Raw genomic sequence first — 19,964 nt, forward strand, 5'->3', positions numbered from 1 at the left:
AGGTTGGCTAGAGTGGACTGGAGTTGGCTAGAGTGGGCTGCAGTTGGATATTTCCTCTCCTCCACATGGAAGCTAGAGGGGACTGCAGTTGAGTATTTTCCTTCCCCAAGGTCAATTAGATTCTGATAAAACCCCAGCAGGTTTAGATCTAGTGAAACAGTTTCACCTAAGGATAGGCAATACATTTCTGTTTAAGCCTCCCAGTTCATGGTCTTTGTTACAGCAGCCCTAGCAGAAGAATACAGCAGGAATCATGTCTGCCTTGATTACTGTGATATACCAAGTTTCTAGCATGTGTCAAACATTTATGGTAGGAATTCTAGACATATCTATTGAATGATTGATTAAATTCCTATAATTACTGTGAAGTAAAATGACATATTGGGAAAGTAATTAAACCAATTTGGTAATGGGACATAATTATTGAAATACAAGGTTATCACGTTAAAACCTGATCCCACATCTGAAAATAGAAGAAAAATGTTTTAATCAGTCCACACCACATTTAATATTAATTAATCAAGTAGGAAAACGGAGAATATTTTCTATCAGGGAAAGTAATAAAATAAATACTAAAGATCACTACTCAGAATAATAACTTATTTTTAAAATGCTATATCAGGTTTTCTTACCTCAATTCACGAGCCCTTTAGATTTTACGTTTCTAAGTAATAGTCTTTATTGTCAATAGAGTCTTAAGCACAGGGAGTGAAGGAGTTTGAGTGGGTCCTTTGTCATTTTTACTTATATCAGAGGCAAGAGGCGAAGGAGATTGTTTAGTTGCTACTTTCTGAGTTTATCTCTTCATAATTCAAACCTGAGAATTTCAACTCCCCCAACAAGGTACTTACAGGCTGAAGTTAAGAAACCCTTTAAAAATTTTGTGGACCAGAATAAAATTATCAGTTCATTCAACTTTCCATAACGCTTCCAAGGTAGAGGTGATTCAGCTAAGAGACAGCATGTGGATTTCTTAATGAATAGTAAACTTTGTAAGTTTGTATGTACCCTAAAAAGTTTTTGCCTTAACCCAATCACATATGTTAAAGTCAGACAATATCTTAGAAACAAAGACCTTCCTTCCATTCCCAAATGACAAGTTGGCATTTCACAAATACCTCTTTAGTTAAATAATGGGGTGGTCATAATGATGAAGTGGTGAATATAATTTGAACTAAAATATATTCTGAATGCTCATGTGTAGAAAAATAAGCAGCCTAATAAAACATATTAGTAGTGACTTTGTACTAGATGTCATCAATGATATCTTCTAATCCTGAGTCTTCAAATGTAGTCACAAACATGCCATTGGTACATTCTTATGAGATATCACCAAGGAACGGAGAGTACTTGAATTTAGCCACTTTAATTTCCTTCTTACTAACTTCTATTTTCCACATCTACAGCAGGAATCAAGATTTTAAATGTATTTGATTTTGTCATATTATACTCATACAACTCTGTAACCCCAGTTAAGTCCTCCACAAAGAGAAACTAAGTGACCAAAATCTTGCATGCACTTTCTTTAAATAATAAATCTGCTCCATATCATGTGGCCAACTTTCAAACAGAGAAGACCTGATACACTGGTACATTCTTGGACTATATCCCAAACTCAATTGCCTCATTGAACTTTAATTCTTCCTAACATGTTATTGGAACCATCGTTTTATTGAGCACTCCAGCCCTAGATCTGATGATCAACAATGACTTTCTGCTATCACTCTTGACTTCTCCCCAAGCCAAGCCCTACAGCATACCCTCATTTTGTATTACCCTTTGGCTAGCCATGCAAATTTTACACTACCTTGAACCATTCAGATCTTAATACTTTACCATGTCATTGATCATGTAGGCACAGATTTCCACAGTCCTGAAGTGGAAAACCAAATAATTATGAAAGACGTACATTTTGCCTTTGTTACTAGTTCAAGGCTCCCTTTTCTATACCCATAGTCTCTTACAATCTTGGTTCATAAACTCTTAGAGATATGTCGATGTCATGATGGTTGCTCTATAGACTCCTTCTGCCTAAATCAGAGATGTACAATTTTTGTAAAAGCTTATAGATGTCACAGAATACTTCCTCCCTCAGTGAAATATTTTATAGTATGCTTCCTGTGTTCGTCTTCTTCCATCACCATGGTGATTAAAGGACTGATCAGTACCACGGCTACCTGGAACACAAACTCAGACATAATTGCTCTGGAACTTCTCCTGTAGTTCAATCGTTGCTTGAGCCAGCAGAAATTTGATTTTATGTTACTTGCAAATAAAAGATGCCTAGCATCTAATTCAGTCTTTCGTCTCAGGGAACTGCTTATTCTACTTTAAGACTTTAGGAGACAGGGGAAGAAGACAATAGGAGACAGGGGAAGAAGACAAGGGCAGCATGTGACAAGAGCAAAAAATCAATTTGATGGACTAACATAACAAATCTTGTGTTCTCTGAAACAACGGGGCCAGCTTAACAGACTTCACAAGATTGTCATGATGAACATATTCAGCAACTCACTGCTCAGGCAGTGTTTCAGGAAGCTTGTCCAGGTATCTATGAGACAATCATCAAATCGTTGAGTCTAATCAGCATGAAATAAAATGGTTGCTTTTAAATATTCTTAAATACTCTCAGTTCTGAGCCTTTGGCACTTTTAAAATACATGCAAAGAATAAGTTTTTCTTGAGTTTTGATATGAATTATGAGAACTGAGAATTTGACACTGACCTAAATTACTAACAAAAGGCTTTAAATATCAATGAATAAAAGTGGAACAGAAGAAAAATGTTCATTTTAATTTTTAAAGAAAACATTTTCATTTTATTAATCTTTCTAACAAAAATATAATTATCTTCAAATGAAAGAGCAAGATTATTAATAATTTTCACTTTTAGAAGAACTTGAAAGAGAATAGAAACATTTTCTAGTGGAGTGAATCTTTTAAATGCAGGTGGCCGGGCGTGGTGGCTCATGCCTATAATCCTAGCACTTTGGGAGGCTGAGGTGGGCGAATCACTTGAGGTCAGGAGTTCAAGACCAGACTGGCCAACATGGTGAAACCCTGTGTCTACTAAGAATACAAAAATTAGCTGGGCGTAGTGGCGGGTGCCTGTAATCCCAGTTACTCAAGAGGCTGAGGCAGGAGAATCGCTTGAACCCAGGAGGTGGAAATTGCAATGAGGCAAGATTGTGCCACTGCACTCCAGCCTGGGCAACAGAGTGAAACTCTGTCTCAAAAAATAAATAAATAAAAATAAATAAATAAATAAAATAAAATGCAGGTAAATGTGATCTAGTGAAGACATTATGAACTCAGGCCTTTTATTACTAAGTAAATATAATTCAATGTTTACCCTTTAAAAAATATTGAAATCTGGCTGACAAAATGCATCATAAGTGGAATTCCATTTAGGGGAAGAAAAGTCAGGCCTTTCCATGGTTTCTTTAGGTCAGCATTGGAATAATTATACACTAGCATATAAGCAAAAAATAAGCTAAATATATATAACTTGATCTGATATAAAATTCAAATGTCTTCTCATGGCTCAGTTCGTCAACATTTTTCTCAATTTTAAAGAAAAAAAGCACAAGAAACACAAGCAATTTTCTCTTTCATGTTGACTTCCAAAATAATGTCTGCATGAAGCCTGCAGGGAAGCTTGGGAATTAGAATCCTTTTTCAATTAGCAAAGGAAAATCTAAGAAAATTTCCAGTAGTGACTCAATTAATCCAACTACAGCAGGGAGTATATACTAATAGTTAGAATAAGAAATGGAGAGAAGGTGCCTCAAACACCCTTCTAATTCCAAAGCCTGAAAACGGAGTTGCCAAAGGCAATTCTACTTGCCTGCCTGTCCTTCAGATTTCCCCATTGTAAAAATAAACAAATGAAATTTAATCTAGTTCAATCATAGGGCAATGTTTATAGAATACTTACAAGTTTTACTAACAGTGTTCATAGAGCAGGGCCAAGAAAGGGTCTAGAGACTGACAAGGCTATTAATTGCTAGTTACGTCCTACATTAAGTTTGTGTTCCTCACATCTTCCTTGACGATGAGAATATTTTCACATTTGTCTTCATTCTCAGATAGTTCTACTTTTCTGGATGGGGAGACATTTTGTCAGTGTAACTGAGACAGCTTTAATAGAATCAATTTCAATTTTAAATCTCTCTTGAGAGGCACTCACATCTTGTAGGTTCACCTAGGCTGATTCCAATGATGTCTCTTGAGTAACTATCCTCGGGCCATATGCATGCATTTTGGCTTCTAGCTGAGATTCCGCTGAATTAATAGTTGATTAAAATTGTTTTAAGAAAAATGTCACTGAATGGCAAAATGCCAAATAACAACTGAATTCATTTGTGAGGCACAAAGACGAGTGTTACTATCTCCACCCCATCTCCCACAGGCCAATGGCAGTCCTGACAAAGTACAAAGTGAAGCTCTCGTCTCAAAGAAAAGACACAAAATCCCCAGCAGCCCCATCCCAGAGAGGATATGACAGCAGAGCTCCAGGGGGGACACAGCTCATGATAACAGTGGATTTCTCTTGCTTCCCCTTGATATGATATCATACCTTTTATTTTTTCCAATCAAAATGTAGATTAAATTTCATAATGCACTGCAAAGTGTTTTCAAAATGCAAACTCGTTACAAAAACCCATTGAGTAATATTATTAATTTATGTTTATTGCTATATAGAAAGAATCTTGCTGCTTTTCTGTTTTTGACTATTTGCACATGCTCTTTCCTCTGTTTGGAATGCCTTTCTCATTTTCCGCTTGGAGAAAGCCCAACCCACCAGGAGAAAAACCTTCCTTGGCAAACTTGCCACTACCCCAGAGCCTCTTGTGACTCCTATGGGTTCCCAGAGCCTACTGTGACCCCTCTTACTTCTTAGCTCTTGGCATGCTCTAATATAATGTTAGATTAATATAGCTCTTCTGGCTGCTAGACAGTGACTGTCCTGAAAGTAGAGGAAAGAGAGCATCATGTTGGTATCTGGTGGGTGTTTAAGAACAATGCCTAGTACAAAGGTGTACTAAAATAAACATGTTTTTTGAATTAATGTAACTAGTGCTGCCCAGTAATAAATGCTTTCAATAAGCAACATAATTTAGATTTCTGTATCCTATGGAGTTACCTCAGTACTTTCAAAACACACACTAGCAATGTAGGTAATGGGTTATCATTAAAGTCTTACTTTTTTTTAGGTTGACTGCTGACTCAAATGTGCTTTATTTTGTAGCCATAATTTGTTCACATTTGTCTTCTTTATTACCCCATAGGCTCTTTGATAAAAGAGATGGTGCCCCAATTCTTGTGCCTAGCAGGCACAAAAAGAAATACATTTGAATAAGTAAATAATCAAATATGGAAAGATGACTTATGGTGCCCATGGCTAGGCAGAGGGTGTAGGTATTGTGGATTGATTCAATAGCTACACAATCAAATAGAGATGATAACTGGAGTTAAGATGTAACATTGGATCTGGGACAGGGAGAGTTTAGGAAACTAACAATAAAATCCTTCCATAAACTAAAGAACGCTCGCCACTATCAGGATGAAAAAATATGTCCTATGGAAAGATGTTGCCATAGAAATAGGGTATATGACCCTACAATGCAGAAGAGTTAAAACTGGTACTGATGAAAGAGGTTTGTTATTCATCTGAGAATTAGTAAAATAATGTCTAGCTATCCCAACTCCATAAATGGCCTAAAGGAAAGGACTGTAACAAGCAGTTTTCCAGAAAAAAGGACAAGTTGCTTGGACATAGAGCAAAGGGGAAAATATGAGGACATGATCGATTCCATCCATGGACAACTGCCTGAGAATCAGGGAGGAATGAGGTTGGAAAATCCCCCTTTATTTTTTTTCCGCATAGGTGTGTTCATTTCCAAGCAGTTTGGCTTCTTTCAATCCTGGCCTTCTTCCTGCTGAATACAGAATCATTTCAGGGGCCCAATAGTTTACCAATACCTAGTCCAGATGCACTGACAATTCTGGCATGCCTCTCCATTTTATCAAAGCACCCAGACATCAGAGCATCTGTATTGCACCAGCTGGAGGCCAGCCCCTTTATCCTCATGCTTATGTGTTCTTAGGATACATAAGCACTTGGAAAACCACTTAGAGGGATTACCAGCCAAGGTACCACATAATGCAGCTAGCCACTATTACCAACAGAGACCTAACACCAGTACATGTTTTGTTGAGAAAAATTAAAAAGCTACTCAGCTGTAAAAGCCATTTCCCACTCAATTGTTGGCAGCCTCAAATTGCAGTTATGTGGACCCAAGCAAGCAGTAACACACACGCATACCCTTCAGTTAAAGCTCAAGAGCCACATGATTTAGCTTTGAGTCCCAGCAAATAACTAGAAAGGTTTTCCTTTCTTTTTCTTCTTCCAGTTGGTCGACAGGTATAACAAGTTGACTGGGTCTGCAGTCAGCTCCATCAGAGAGTGTGAATAACAGAGCAAAAGGCAGAAAGATTTTATGTGTCTGGCGAACAGAGCATCCCCAGGGAAATCTTCAGAGGTTGAAAACATTTTTCGGAATTACTGCAATATACTACCTTTGTCAAAGGTGCTTACAGTGATTGAAACATATTAATTAAGTTTCCTTCCTGACCTTTGGGATTGGGACTGTAAAGTAGCATTAAAGCAGATTTGTAGAAGATAACAAAGGGGCTGTTATCCAACCAGTGCTGACCCAATCATGCATGCATAGGGTCTCCTTATCACCATGCTTTTTTCTCCACAGTCTGTATAGCCAGAGAGAAGTCAGGCTAGGCTTATATTCAGGTACTTTCTTCCGCTCTCTAAAGTTTGAAGGATATTGTAAAGCTTATAGTAGGGTGGGGAAAGGGGGTCTTCAAAGACATGAAATGGCAAAAAAGAAATATGAAATTTGGAGAGGAGCAGTATAGTGAAAATTGCTCATGGCTTTTCTTACCAATTGGTTTTTAGCAATGATGATCTCTACAAATAGTGTTCTCAGTCATTTTGAATGGAGAGATGAACTAATACAATTCATTTTTAATCAGTATTTAGGAAAACTGCCAGATTGCAGGAAGCCAAAATTGGTTGACTGTTAGTCTTTCCCCTGGATTAACAATCATCTCTAAATGGATAACTTCCTTGTCTGTGCCTCAATTTCAATGTTCTCAATAGACCTCATATGGCATTTCCTGTTGAAATAGTTCCTGAGCTCTCTGGTGAATTTTGGAGGTGTTTGAGAGGTAGATCATCCTCCTGTTCATGAGCCCCTGGCCTTTTGTGAGTATCCCTTACACTCTTCAGGACCCTTCCTCCCACAGCACTGCCCTCCTGCCAGGGAACCCCACTGCGCTCGGTCCTGCAGGCCCTGACCTGGCCTCACTTGGGGATGGACTCCTCATCTAACAAGAAGGAAAGTTTCCTAGTTGAGAAAAGGAGTGAACTTTGGGATTAAAGCTCTTCTTATTTCCTTGACTATGGCCAGATTGTTTAACTGATTTCATTTCTTTTCTCTTCCTGAGACATTCAGTCCTTACAGATGTCCTGCTGTTTGGGTTTCCAAATTACACTTCTTACACTGACTACCCAGAGCATAAATTCTGTTGCCACATGGATGTCCTGGATTGAACCTGGCTCTAACGCTAGTAAACTTTGGGTCCTTAGGTAAGTCACTTAATTTCTCTCTGCCTCAGTTTTTCCATCTGTAAAATGAAGTTAATAAGCTATTTTTATTTATAGGTTTGGTACAGGAATTGTATTTTCTAGGTTTTCCACATGTCTCACATTCCTTTTGCCATAGGATCACATGTTGGCCTCCTAACATGCATGGTCCCTGAAGGTATTTGAATTTGCAGTTTAAGTGTTTTCAGAGTCCTCATTGACCACTGTAAACCAAGGTCTAGGAAATATCATAGAAGATGCTAAGATTAAATACTTAGATTAAACAGATAATTCTTCAAATTAGAGATTCTTCTATTCAACTTTGTTCATGGGAGATTTGGAACCCAAACCACCTGATAAATCATCACTGCCCCTCTATGCCCAGAAGGCAGCCCAAAGAGCAGTGTGAGCCCTTGGGAGAACTGCAATTCAATGTTTACAATGAAGAATGCTCCATTTATGAACGTTAAAGACTAGGTAATTCAAAATCAATTTCATATTAGACAGTATGCAAGTTGTGAGTTCAAGGAGGGGAGAGCTAGCGGGAGGTGGATTAGGCCAGCAAGTCTCAGGACATTGGGCAGGTTCAACGGAAAGGAAAGAAAGACGACAAAGCAGTTTTATCTGGAAGAGTGAGAAGAGGTCAAGGGTAGCACAAGTAGCTATGCAAACCCTTGGTCTAATTAAATAAAATTTTGCTTTTCCAAAAAGCTTATCATACCTGCAAGTTCAAAATTTAAATTTGAAGAACTGAAATACACACACACACACACACACATACATACATATATTTCAGTTCTTGCTGATACAGTCATCACAAAAAAAACTAACAACAAGATCTTCTAAAATTGAAAAGCTCCACCTAAGAACTGGAGACAGATCAACCATGATGACATCATGAAATAAAACTTTTTTAAAAAAACTGGCTAATGCTTTACAGACTCATACTTGGATGCTGCCTACTCTGTGTCTACAGTATTTCTGCTTTCAGTGTTTTCCTACCTTTTACAGCTCTAGCATCAGATCTTTTTCCCTCTTTAATGTTTTTATTCTGCAATCTAAAAACATTTTACTTCAAACACCTGTACATCTTCTTGCAAATGATCAATGAAAATGTGTCAAATTGAATTGATCTTGGTGGCCTCCCACAAAGCAGCTGCACCTTCCTCCTCAAGCCCCTTCCTGTCCCCTCCCCGCATGTGCCATGCCACACTCTGCTATAGGTTGCTATTTATCAATAATTATTATGTAAAAATCTGTCAACTTATATTTGGTCCACATGCTCATGTATTTAAAGGGTAGAAATTCTTTTGAAATTACCTTGTAAGATTGAAGACAGGAGGGAAGCTAGGGAAATCCTTTCACTTTTAGATAAAGATTGAAAAGTTAACTCTTGAGTCACAAACATAAAAAACTACGTAAATTCATGAATATACATTGGGCATTATTTTTATAAAAGAGACCCCCCCCCCAAAAAAAAAAAAAACTACTGTTGCTTTATTTCTTTCCTCTTTCTCTTTCTTTCCATTGCTTTTTGGACTAAAATTCTCTAAGCCCAGAATTCTCATTGGAAGGAACATTTATTATTTACTTTGGTGATTTAGAAAGTGCCTATTCTGGCAACTATTCATTGAATTTTAAAATTAACCATAAATTACATGAGTTACTCCCAATGAATATCATTGACCAATGTTTCTGCCATTACCGGGCATAGATTGATCTGGCAAACTACAAGAAATGAGACAAAAATACTAACCAGTCAAAAGCTAGATCAAATAAACGTGCTTTGCATTGCGACCCAGTGATGGCAGCTTTCAACAGGAACTGCAGAGGGGAAGTAGTTTTTGGTTTTGTTTTAAGTGCTAGGACCCCTTTTGAGTAGCTGTCATCATTTAATACTCTAGGATAATTTAAGATAAATATTGATGTGTCTCTCAGAAGTTTAAGATATAACAGTCACATGTTTTTCAACAAATAGGAGAGAGGACTGCTATCTATTTAGTTCATTGCAGGAGCAAGAAGCAAATTTTCCCCAAAAAATTACAGTTACAGTGGGAGTAACTGTCAACAACATTAGCTCTGTAATGTAAACAAGTAGAAAACTGAACAAAATGTATGAAACAACTATTTTTAGGCATCGGACCACAGACAGCCTAGGACTAAGGTTGCTGAGACTGCTAAGATTCCCTTGCTGTGATTGCAAAGGAAACAAATTTGAATTGCCCAGGCATTCTGCTTGGGGTAACTTTCCAGATTTGGAAAGAGAGAGAAAGAACTCAAACAGACACAGCATGGTGATTTTAGTGCATTGAATAGGTAGAGATCAGAGTTCCAGGAAGCTAAGACAGATGGAATGTGTGGACATAGTACTAGACAGAAGAGGAACACATAGAGGAAAACCTTCAGAAATCTTCATAGGTGCATAGGGCACCTTTGAATCTGTTATTGAATACTGAGCTACACATGCATAGAGTAGAAAATCCATAAAGTCTGACAAAGAACTCTCAGGGAGCCATAAACTGAACAATGCCCAGAGCTCAAACAAAGCTGGGAGACATGCGAATTCCAATCAGCCAGGATGGGGCATTCAGGTACAACTGGTCCTATGGTAAATACTACATTACACTACTAAAAATAAGGCTTAAAAAATGATGAAGTTAATCTGCAAACAAATTCAAGGCTAGTTAAAACATTTTTCCAACACTTTATTGGGAAAAAAACACCTTAAATGACATAAAATATGATACTTTACATATTTATACTATTAGATGATAGTGTCTGATATCCAAAGAAAAAATTACTAGCCATAAAAAAATGAAGAAAAATGAGATGAAGAGCCAGGTGAAAAGTCAGCCAATAGGAACAGACCAAAAATGACAGAAATAATAAAATTATCAGAAAAAAACTTTAAAACTGCTATTAGGAATAAATTCAATACGTTCAAGTGTTAAACCAAAAAGATAAATGTGATGTGAGGAGAAAGGAAAGCTATAAAAAAGTTCCAGGTGGAAATGCTAAAGACGAAATATACGATATTTGAAGTGAAAAACTCAGTGGATGTGATTAACAGCAGATTGGATAGTGCAGAAGTAAACATTAGTAAATTTGAAGACATTGCAATAAAAACTATCCGAACTGAAGCACTGATATAAACGACTAAGCAATCAACACAATGTCAGAGGCCAGTGGGACAATATGAAGTATTGTAGCATATGTGAATACAGAACCCCAGAAAGATACAGAAAGTGTTTGGGAGGTATAAAGAAATAATGCCCTCAAATTTTCTTAATTTGATAGAAACTCTTAATCTGAAGATTCAAGGAGCTCAGTGAACCAGAAGTAGCATACATATACATAAACACAATACAGACACACACACACACACACACACACATACACACACACACACAACCAACTATGAGACCAAGGTACATCATAAACACATTTCTGAGAACCACAATAAAGAAGATTTAAATCTACCAGAGGTGAGGGTGGAGACATGATATATAGAGAGAAAAGAAAAAAAAATTACTGAGGACATGTCAAAAGAAATAAGATAAATGAAGGAAAGAAAAAGAAAGACCCAGTTTAAAAGTAGTGAAAGAAAAAAATAAACAATCAAATTGCATTCTAAATCTAGCAAAAATATCTTTAAACATGAAGGCATAATAAGGAAATTTCCAGACAAACAAAAGCCAGGAGAATTTGTTGCCTGCAGACTTGGATTTAAAGAAATAATATAGAAAGTTTTCACACTGAAGAAAAATGATACCAGATGGGAACATGGCTTCAAAAAAAGAATTAAAATACTGGACATGACAAATACGTGGCAAATATGAAAGTCTTTCTTTCAATAACAATGAAGGGTGGGGTTTATAACATGTAGAGTTAAAATGTTTTAAAAGAGTGCCCAAAGGATGGGAAGAAGGAAATGAAAATATACTGTTATAAGGTTCTTATCTGTGAAGTGGTATATTATTTGAAAGCAGAGACTCTGGTTAACGATGCACATTTTAAATCTTAGAGTAATCATGAAAACTAGCAAAAGGTGAAAAAAAAAAGGTGTTGTATTTAATAAACCAACAAGGACAAACACTCTCAGTCATTCTCTCTGTGGTATTCAATACTTCAGATTGTTCAAGCTCTTCTCTTCTGCCATTGGTTTGAGTAATATAAAAGTCCCTGTGGGTTTAGGCCCAGCCTGATAAGAAGTGAGACAGGCTGAGTACAGTGGCTTACATCTGTAATCTCAGCACTTGGGGAGGCTAAGGCAGGAGGATTGCTTGAACTCAGGAGCTCAAGACTAGCCTGGGCAACAGAGCAAGACCTCTTCTCTATTAAAAATCAAAAAAATTAGCCAGGCATGGTGGTATATACCTGTAGTCCCAGCTACTCAGGAGGGTGAGGTGGGAGGATTGCTTGAGTCTGGGAGGCAGAGGTTGCAGTGAGCCATGAGCCACTGCATTCCAGCCTGGGTGATGGAGACCCTGTCTCAAAAAAAAAAAAAAAAAAAAGAAATGAGACTTGTGGTTTTTAGATTTAAAACCCATGATGCTTTCAGTACTAAAGCCACTTGGAAATAAAAATTTCCATCAGGATCAGCCATAGGTAAGATTATAAAGTAGGAAAAGTCTATCATCCTTATTATTCCTTTAATGGACAAGCTACTATTAAAAAAAAAATTAGAGGAGAGGCCAAGATGGCTGATTGGAAGCAGCTGTGGTCCACAGCACTCATGGAGAGGAATGAGTGCCTCCTCACTGGGTGGGATCTTCCTGTGGGGGCTTCAGCCACTCCAGCCAGGGTTATACAGAGAGAACTCGTATCTTTTCCTCAGATGGCGCTCCCAGGGGCAGGGGTGGCTGCCATCTCTATGATTCAGTTGTCTCAGCCATCCAGCCTGCCAGCTTTGGAGAGTCCAATGGTCTGGATGAGGAAGGGTCCCTCACAATGCAGCACACTTGCTCTACCAAAAAGCAGCCAGACTGCTTCTTTAAGTAGATTATTGATCCTGTTCCTCCTGACTGATAGTGTTCCTCTGACTCCCATCCAAGGTCTCCAGCCACTTTTCACAGGTACGTTCAGGCCAGGAACATGTCATTAACCCCATGGGCTAGAGCTTCCAGAGGAAGAAGCAGACTGCCATCTTTGCTGTTATGCAGCCTTCACTGGTGATACCTCCAGGTACAAAAAAAACTGAGGCAACTCTAGGGTCTGAAGAGTACCCCCAGCAAACAGCAGCAGCACTACAGAAGAGTGGCCTGATCACTAATAGAAAAACAAACAGAAAACAACAACAGAACATCTACAAAAAGACCCCACAAAATCCCCATTCAAAGGTCAGTAACCTCAAAGATCAAAAGTAGATAAGTCCACAAAGATGAGAAAAATCAATGCAAAAATGATGGAAATATAAAAAAGATGGAATGCCTCTTCTCCAAATGGCTGCAACACCTCTCCAGCAAGGATACAGATCTAGGCTGAGGCTAAGATGGCTGAATTGGCAGAAGTAGGCTTCAGAAGGTGAGTAACGATGAACTTCACTGAACTAAAGCAGCATGCTGTAACCCAATGCAAAGAAGCTAAGAATCATGATAAAACAATACAGGAACTGATAGCCCGAATAGCCAGTTTAAAGAGGAAAATAACTGACCTGATAGAGCTGAAAAACACCATACAAGAACTTCACAATGTAATCACAAGTATCAATAGCAGAATAGACCAAGCAGAGGAAAGAATCTCAGAGCTTGAAGATGATCTTTCTGAAGTAGACAGGCAGACAAGAATAGAGAAAAAAAGAATGAAAAGAAACAAACAAAACCTCTGAGAAATATGGGATTTTGTAAAGAGATTGAGTCTACAATTGGTTGAGGTACCTGAAAGAGACAGGGATAACGGAGCCAAATTGGAAAACATACTTCAGGATATCATCCAGGATAATTTTCCCAACCTAATAAGGCAGGCCAACATTCAAATTGAAGAAATGCAGAGAACTCCAGTAAGATATTCCATAAAAAGATCTACCCCGAGACACATAATCATCAGATTCTCCAAGGCTGAAATGAAAGAAAAGACGTTAAGGACAGCCAGAGAGAAAGGCCAGGTCACCTACAAAGGGAAGCCCATCAGACTAACAGCAGACCTCTCAGTGGAAACCTTACAAGCCAGAAGAGATTGGGGGGCCAATATTCAACCTTCTTACAGAAAATAATTTCCAACCCAGAATTTTGTATCCAGCCACACTAAGCTTCATCATTGAAAGAGAAATAAGATCCTTTTCAGACAAGCAAATGTTGGGATAATTCCCCACCATCAGGACTGCCTTGCAAAACTCCTGAAGGGAGTACTAAATATGGAAAGGAAAAACCATTACTAGCCACTAGTTCAGTAAAAACACACTGAAATACACAGACCAGTGACACTATGAAGCAACCACATAAACAAGCCTTCAAAATAATCAGCTAGCATCATGATGTCAGGATCAAATTCACATATAACAATACTAACCTTAAATGTAAATGGCCTACATGTCCCAATTAAAAGACACAGAATGGCAAGATAAATAAAGAGCCAAGACCCATTGGTATGCTGTCTTCAAGAGACCCATCTTATGTGCAAAGACACATATAGGCTCAAAATAAAACAATGGAGGAAAATTTACCAAGAAAATAGAAAACAGAATAAAGCAGGGGTTGCAATCCTAGTTTCTGACACAACAGACTTTAAATCAACAAAGATAAAAAATGACAAAGAATGGCATTCCATAATGGTAGAGGGTTCAATTCAACAAAAAAGCTAACTATCCTAAATATATAAGCACCCAATACAGGAGCACCCAGATTCATAAAGCAAGTTCTTAGAGACCTACAAAGAAATTTAGATTCCCACACAATCATAATGGGAGAATTTAACATCCCACTGACAATATTAGACAGATCATTGAGACAGAAAATTAATAAAGATATTTAGGACCTGAACTCAGTTCTGGATGAAGTGGACCTGATAGATGTCTACAGAACTCTCCACCCAAAAACAACAGAATATACATTCTTCTCATTGCCACATGGCACTTACTCTAAAATTGATCACATAATCAGAAGTAAAACACTCCCCAGCAAATGCAAAAGAAGTGAAATCATAACAGCCTCTCAGACCACAGCACAATGACATTAGAACTCAAGACTAAGAAATTCACTCAAAACCACACAACTACATGGAAATTGAACAACCTGCTCCTGAATGACTCTTGGGTAAATAATGAAATGAAGGCAAAAATCAAGAAGGTGTTTCAAACTAATGAGAACAGAGAGACAACGTACTAGAATCTCTGGGATCCAGCTAAAGCAGTATTAAGAGGTGAATCTATAGCACTAAATGCCCACATCAAAAAGCTAGAAAGATCTCAAGTTAACAACCTAACATCACAGCTACAAGAACTAGAGAACCAACAGCAAACACACCCCAAAGCTAGCAGAAGACAAGAAATGACCAAGATCAGAGCTGAACTGAAAGAAATAGAAACATGAAAAATCTGCAACAAGTCAATGAATCCAAGATCTGGTGTTTTGAAAAAATTAATAAAATAGACCACTAGCTAGACTAATAAGAAAAGAGAGAAGAATCAAATAAACACAATCAGAAATGACAAGGGGGATATAACCACTGACCCCACAGAAATACAAACAACCATTAGAGAATACGGTAAGTACCCCTATGCACATAAACTAGAACATCTAGAAGAAATTGAGAGATTCCTGGACACATACATGCTCCCAAAACTAAATCAGGAAGAAACGGAATCCCTGAATAGACCAATAAAGAGTCTGAAATTGAGGCTGTAATATAATAAATAGCCCACCAACCAAAAAAAAGCCCAGGGCCAGATGTATCCACATCAGAATTCTACCAGAGGTACAAAGAAGAGCTGGTACCATTTCTACTGAAACTGTTCCAAAAAATTGAAAAGGAGGGACTCCTCCCTAATTCATTCTATGAGGTCAGCATCATCTTGATACCACAACCTAGCAGAGATACAACAATAAAAAACTTCAGGCCAATATCTTTGATAAACATTGATTCAAAAATCCTCAGTAAAATATTGACAAACCGAATCCAGCAGCACATCAAAAAGCTTATCCACAATAATCAAACTGGCTTCATTCCCATGATGTAAGGTTGGTTCAATATATATGAATCAATAAATGTGATTCATCACATAAGCAGAACTAAAGACAAAAATGACACGATTATTTCAATAGATGGAGAAAAGGCCTCTGATAAAATTCAACATTCCTTTATGTTAAAAACTATCAATAAACTAGATATTGAAGGAACATGCTTCAAAATAATAAGAGCCATTTATGACAAACCCACAGCTAATATCATACTGAATGGGCAAAACCTGGGAGCATTCTCCTTGAAAACCATCACAAGACAAGGATGGCCTCCCTCACCACTCCTATTCAACATGGTATTGGAAGTTTTGGCCAGGGAAATCAAGCAAGAGAAAGAAGTAAAGTCTATTCAAATAGGAAAAGAGGAACTCAAATGATCTTTGTTTGCAAATGACATAATTCTGTACCTAGAAAACCACATCATCTCAGCCCAAAAGCTTCTTAAGCTGATAAGCAACTTCAGCAAAGTCTCAGTATACAAAATCAATGTGCAAAAATTAGTAGTATTCCTGTATATCAGCATCAGGCAAGCAAAGAGCCAAATTATGAATGAACTCCCATTCATAATTGCTACAAAAAGAATAAAATACCTAGGAATACAGCTAACAAGGGAAGTTAAGGTCCTCTTCAAGGAGAACTAAAAACCACTGTTCAAATAAATCAGAGAGGACACAAACAAATAGAAAAATATTTCATGCTCATGAATAGGAAGAATCAATATCATAAAAATGACCATACTGCCCAAAGTAACTTACAGATTCAGCGCTATTCACATTAAACTACCATTGACAGTATTCACAGAATTAGAAAAAAAAATTTAATTCACATGAAACCAAAAAAGAGCCTGAATAGCCAAGACAATCCTAAGCAAAAAGAATAAGGCTGGAGGCATTATGCTACCTGACTTCAAACTATACTACAAGGCTATAGTAACCAAAGCAGCATGCTACTGGTACAAGAAAAGAAACATAGACCAATGCAACAGCATAGATAACTCAGAAATAAGACTTCACAACTACAACCATCCAATCTTTCACAAACCCGACAAAAACAAGCAATGGGGAAAAGATTTCCTATTTAATAAATGGTGCTAGGAGAACCAGCTACCTAAATGCAGAAAATTGAAACTGGACTGCTTCCTTACACCATATACAAAAATTAACTCAAGATGGATTAAAGACTTAAATTGAAAACCCCAAACTATAAAAAACCCTAGAAGAAAATCTAGGCAATACCATTCAAGACACAGGCATGGGCAAAGATTTCATGATGAGCTTCAAAAGCAATTGCAACAAAAGCAAAAATTGACAAGTGGGATCTAATTAAACTAAAGAGCTTCTGCACAGCAAAAGAAACTATTATCAGAGCAAACACACAACCTACAGAATGGGAGAACATTTTTGCAACCCATTCATCTGACAAAAGCCTAATATCCAGAGTCTACAAGGAAGTTAAACAAATTTACACACAAAATAAAAACAACCCTATTAAAAAGTGGGCAAAGGACATGAACAGACACTTCTCAAAAGAAGACACACATGTGGCCAACAAACAAATGAAAAAAAGCTCAACATTATTGACCAAAAGAGAAGTGCAAATCAAAACCACAGTGAGATACCATCTCACGCCAGTCAGAATGGTGATTATTAAAAAGTCAAAACAGCAGATGCTCGCAAGGTTACAGAGAAAAAGGAACACTTTTACACTGTGTAAATTCAACCATTGTGGAAGACAGTTTGGTGAGTCTTCAAAGATCTAGAGGCAGAAATACCATTTCACCCAGCAATCCCATTACTAGATATATATACCCAAAGGAATATAATTCATTCTGTTATAAAGATACATGCACGTGTATGTTCATTGCAGCACTATTCACAATAACAAAGACATGGAATCAGCCAAAATGCCCATCAATGATAGACTGGATAAAGAAACTATGGTACATATTCACCATGGAATACTATGCCGCCATAGAAAGGAATGAGATCATGTCCTTTGAGGGACATGGATGGAGTTGGAAGCCATTATTCTTAGCAAACTAATGCAGGAACAGAAAACCAAATGCCACATGTTCTCACTTGTAAGTGGGAGCTGAATGATGAGAACTCATGGACATATTGCGGGGAAAAACATACAATGAGGCCTGTTGGAGGTGGGTAGGGAGAACATCGGGAAGCATAGTTAATGGATGCTGGGCTTAATACCTAGAAGATGGGATGATCTATGCAGCAAACCACCATGACATACACAAACCTACACATCCTGCACATGTGCCCCTGAACTTTAAAAAGCTGAAGAAAAAAAATTAACTTGTTCATTGTGCCCTAGATCCCTCTTTGTCAACCTCCTCTTCTCGTGGCTTTTCAGCTCCTTCATCCAGAATCTGGGTGCTTTATGCTGTGATTGATATAGTGGCCACCTTTCATTCAACAAAATTTTTTGAGCTTCCCTTGTTTACCACACAGGGTTATCACGAGGAGGCCCTTTTTCTTCTCTGTACATGCAAATTTAATTGATTCCTTAAGCTCAATTTCAAATGTTTTTTTCTGTGTGTTTATTTTTTGTTTTTGTTTTTCCTGTAAGGCTTTTCACTGGTCACAAAGATCCTTCTCTAAAAAATCTCTGTTTTTTTTTTTGTTTATTTGTCTGTTTGTGTGTTTTGAGATGGAGTCTCACTCTTTTGCCCAAGCTGGAGTGCAATGGCACAATCTCAGCTCACTGCAATCTCCATGAAACCAAAACTTCCTGGGTTCAAGCAGTTCTCCTGCCTCAGCCTTCCGAGTTGCTGGAATTACAGGCACGCACCACCACACCTGGCTAATTTTTGTATTTTAAGTAGAGACGGGGTTTCACTATGTTGGCCAGGCTGGTCTTGAACTCCTGACCTCAGGTGATCTGCCCACCTCAGCCTCCCAAAGTGCTGGGATTACGGGTGTGAGACACCGTGCACAGCCCCTAAAAAGTGTTATCTGAAATCCATAATGTGTTGTTCTTTTCTTTACAGCTCCTCACTACCCTGTATTGTTACAATCTGTTTCCTTATCGGTGTCTTACTCACTGAGCTGTATATTGTCCATATTTGCACTTGCTTCCCTGCCCAGGGCAGAGGCCTGCACTTAAAAGAGATTTCATCCATGGAGCAGGGGGAGGAGACAGGCTTTTGAGGTTATGGAATCCATCACTTTACTCTTTTATAACTTGGAAAGCAAAAAGTGTCTGAGAATCAAAGAAAAAGAAAGTGATTATTGCCAGGTAACTTGCAAATGTAAGATAAAGGTCTATTTTTACTATTGATAAAATCTCATATAAACAACTCAAACCCTATCTGTATCAGCTTATGTAGAGAAAACAGAAGAAAAAATGAGCCATGTTAGGGCAGTGAAGATTCTTGCCCTTTGTTAGAGAGCTTAGAAACTCCAAAGTATTTCATGTTCTCCTTTCTGTTTCATGGGGACCAGCGAAGTTCCCAAAGGTGGAGGTTCAGTCTGCCTGGGTCTTCTGTGACAATGACATGGAGCAGAGTCCAAACTCCACCTCTGGGCAGCCAATCTGAGATTGAGGTCAATATGATCTGGGCAAGAAATAAGCAGTTGTTGTTACAAAGCATCAAACTTGAAGGATTGCCTGCAGTAAAAATATAACCCATCCTCTCCTGAATGACAGATACCTACAGAATCCTTGCATAAGCATCCACACAGCATCTGCTAAACATAGCAACATGATCACCAGATTAACTGGAAGGGGTTGGTATATGTCATATTCAAGAATACCAACAAAACAATACCAAGAAAAATGCAATGTCAATGGTTAGTCAAACAATCAGGTGATCTGTGTTTGTACTTCACAACGACTTCATACAAGTGGTATCATATTTTCCAAGTTGTAAAGCAATTGATGTGGTTGCATATCTGTAGTACCACTTTTTGGTGTGTTTACCTAGCTTCAAACCATCCTCCCTTCCTTGGAAAATGTGCCTCATTTGTACTATGTGATTCAATTCTCTGACAATAACTGCCTGTAACAGGAATGGGTGGGAAGCCCAGGCTGTGCCAATTCATGGCAGTCACTTCCCGTAAAATTTGGAGCTGGGATCATGAAATTCCAGTTTTATCTTGGTCTGGGCTC

General features: G+C 38.0%; 1 long non-coding RNA gene across 1 annotated transcript in view; it reads left to right on the forward strand.

The window, feature by feature from the left end:
* The first annotated feature begins 2,461 nt into the window (after positions 1 to 2,461).
* The window catches only part of LOC107984630 (uncharacterized), a 28,603-nt gene continuing 11,100 nt past the window's right edge, over positions 2,462 to 19,964 (forward strand). The window contains exons 1-2 of the long non-coding RNA XR_001751015.3: positions 2,462 to 2,547; positions 6,416 to 7,668. This is a non-coding gene — a long non-coding RNA (uncharacterized LOC107984630). The remainder of the gene's footprint in view (positions 2,548 to 6,415; positions 7,669 to 19,964) is intronic.

This window comes from Homo sapiens, chromosome 14 (genome assembly GCF_000001405.40).
Source record: "Homo sapiens chromosome 14, GRCh38.p14 Primary Assembly".
Classification (NCBI taxonomy): Eukaryota; Metazoa; Chordata; class Mammalia; order Primates; family Hominidae; genus Homo; species Homo sapiens.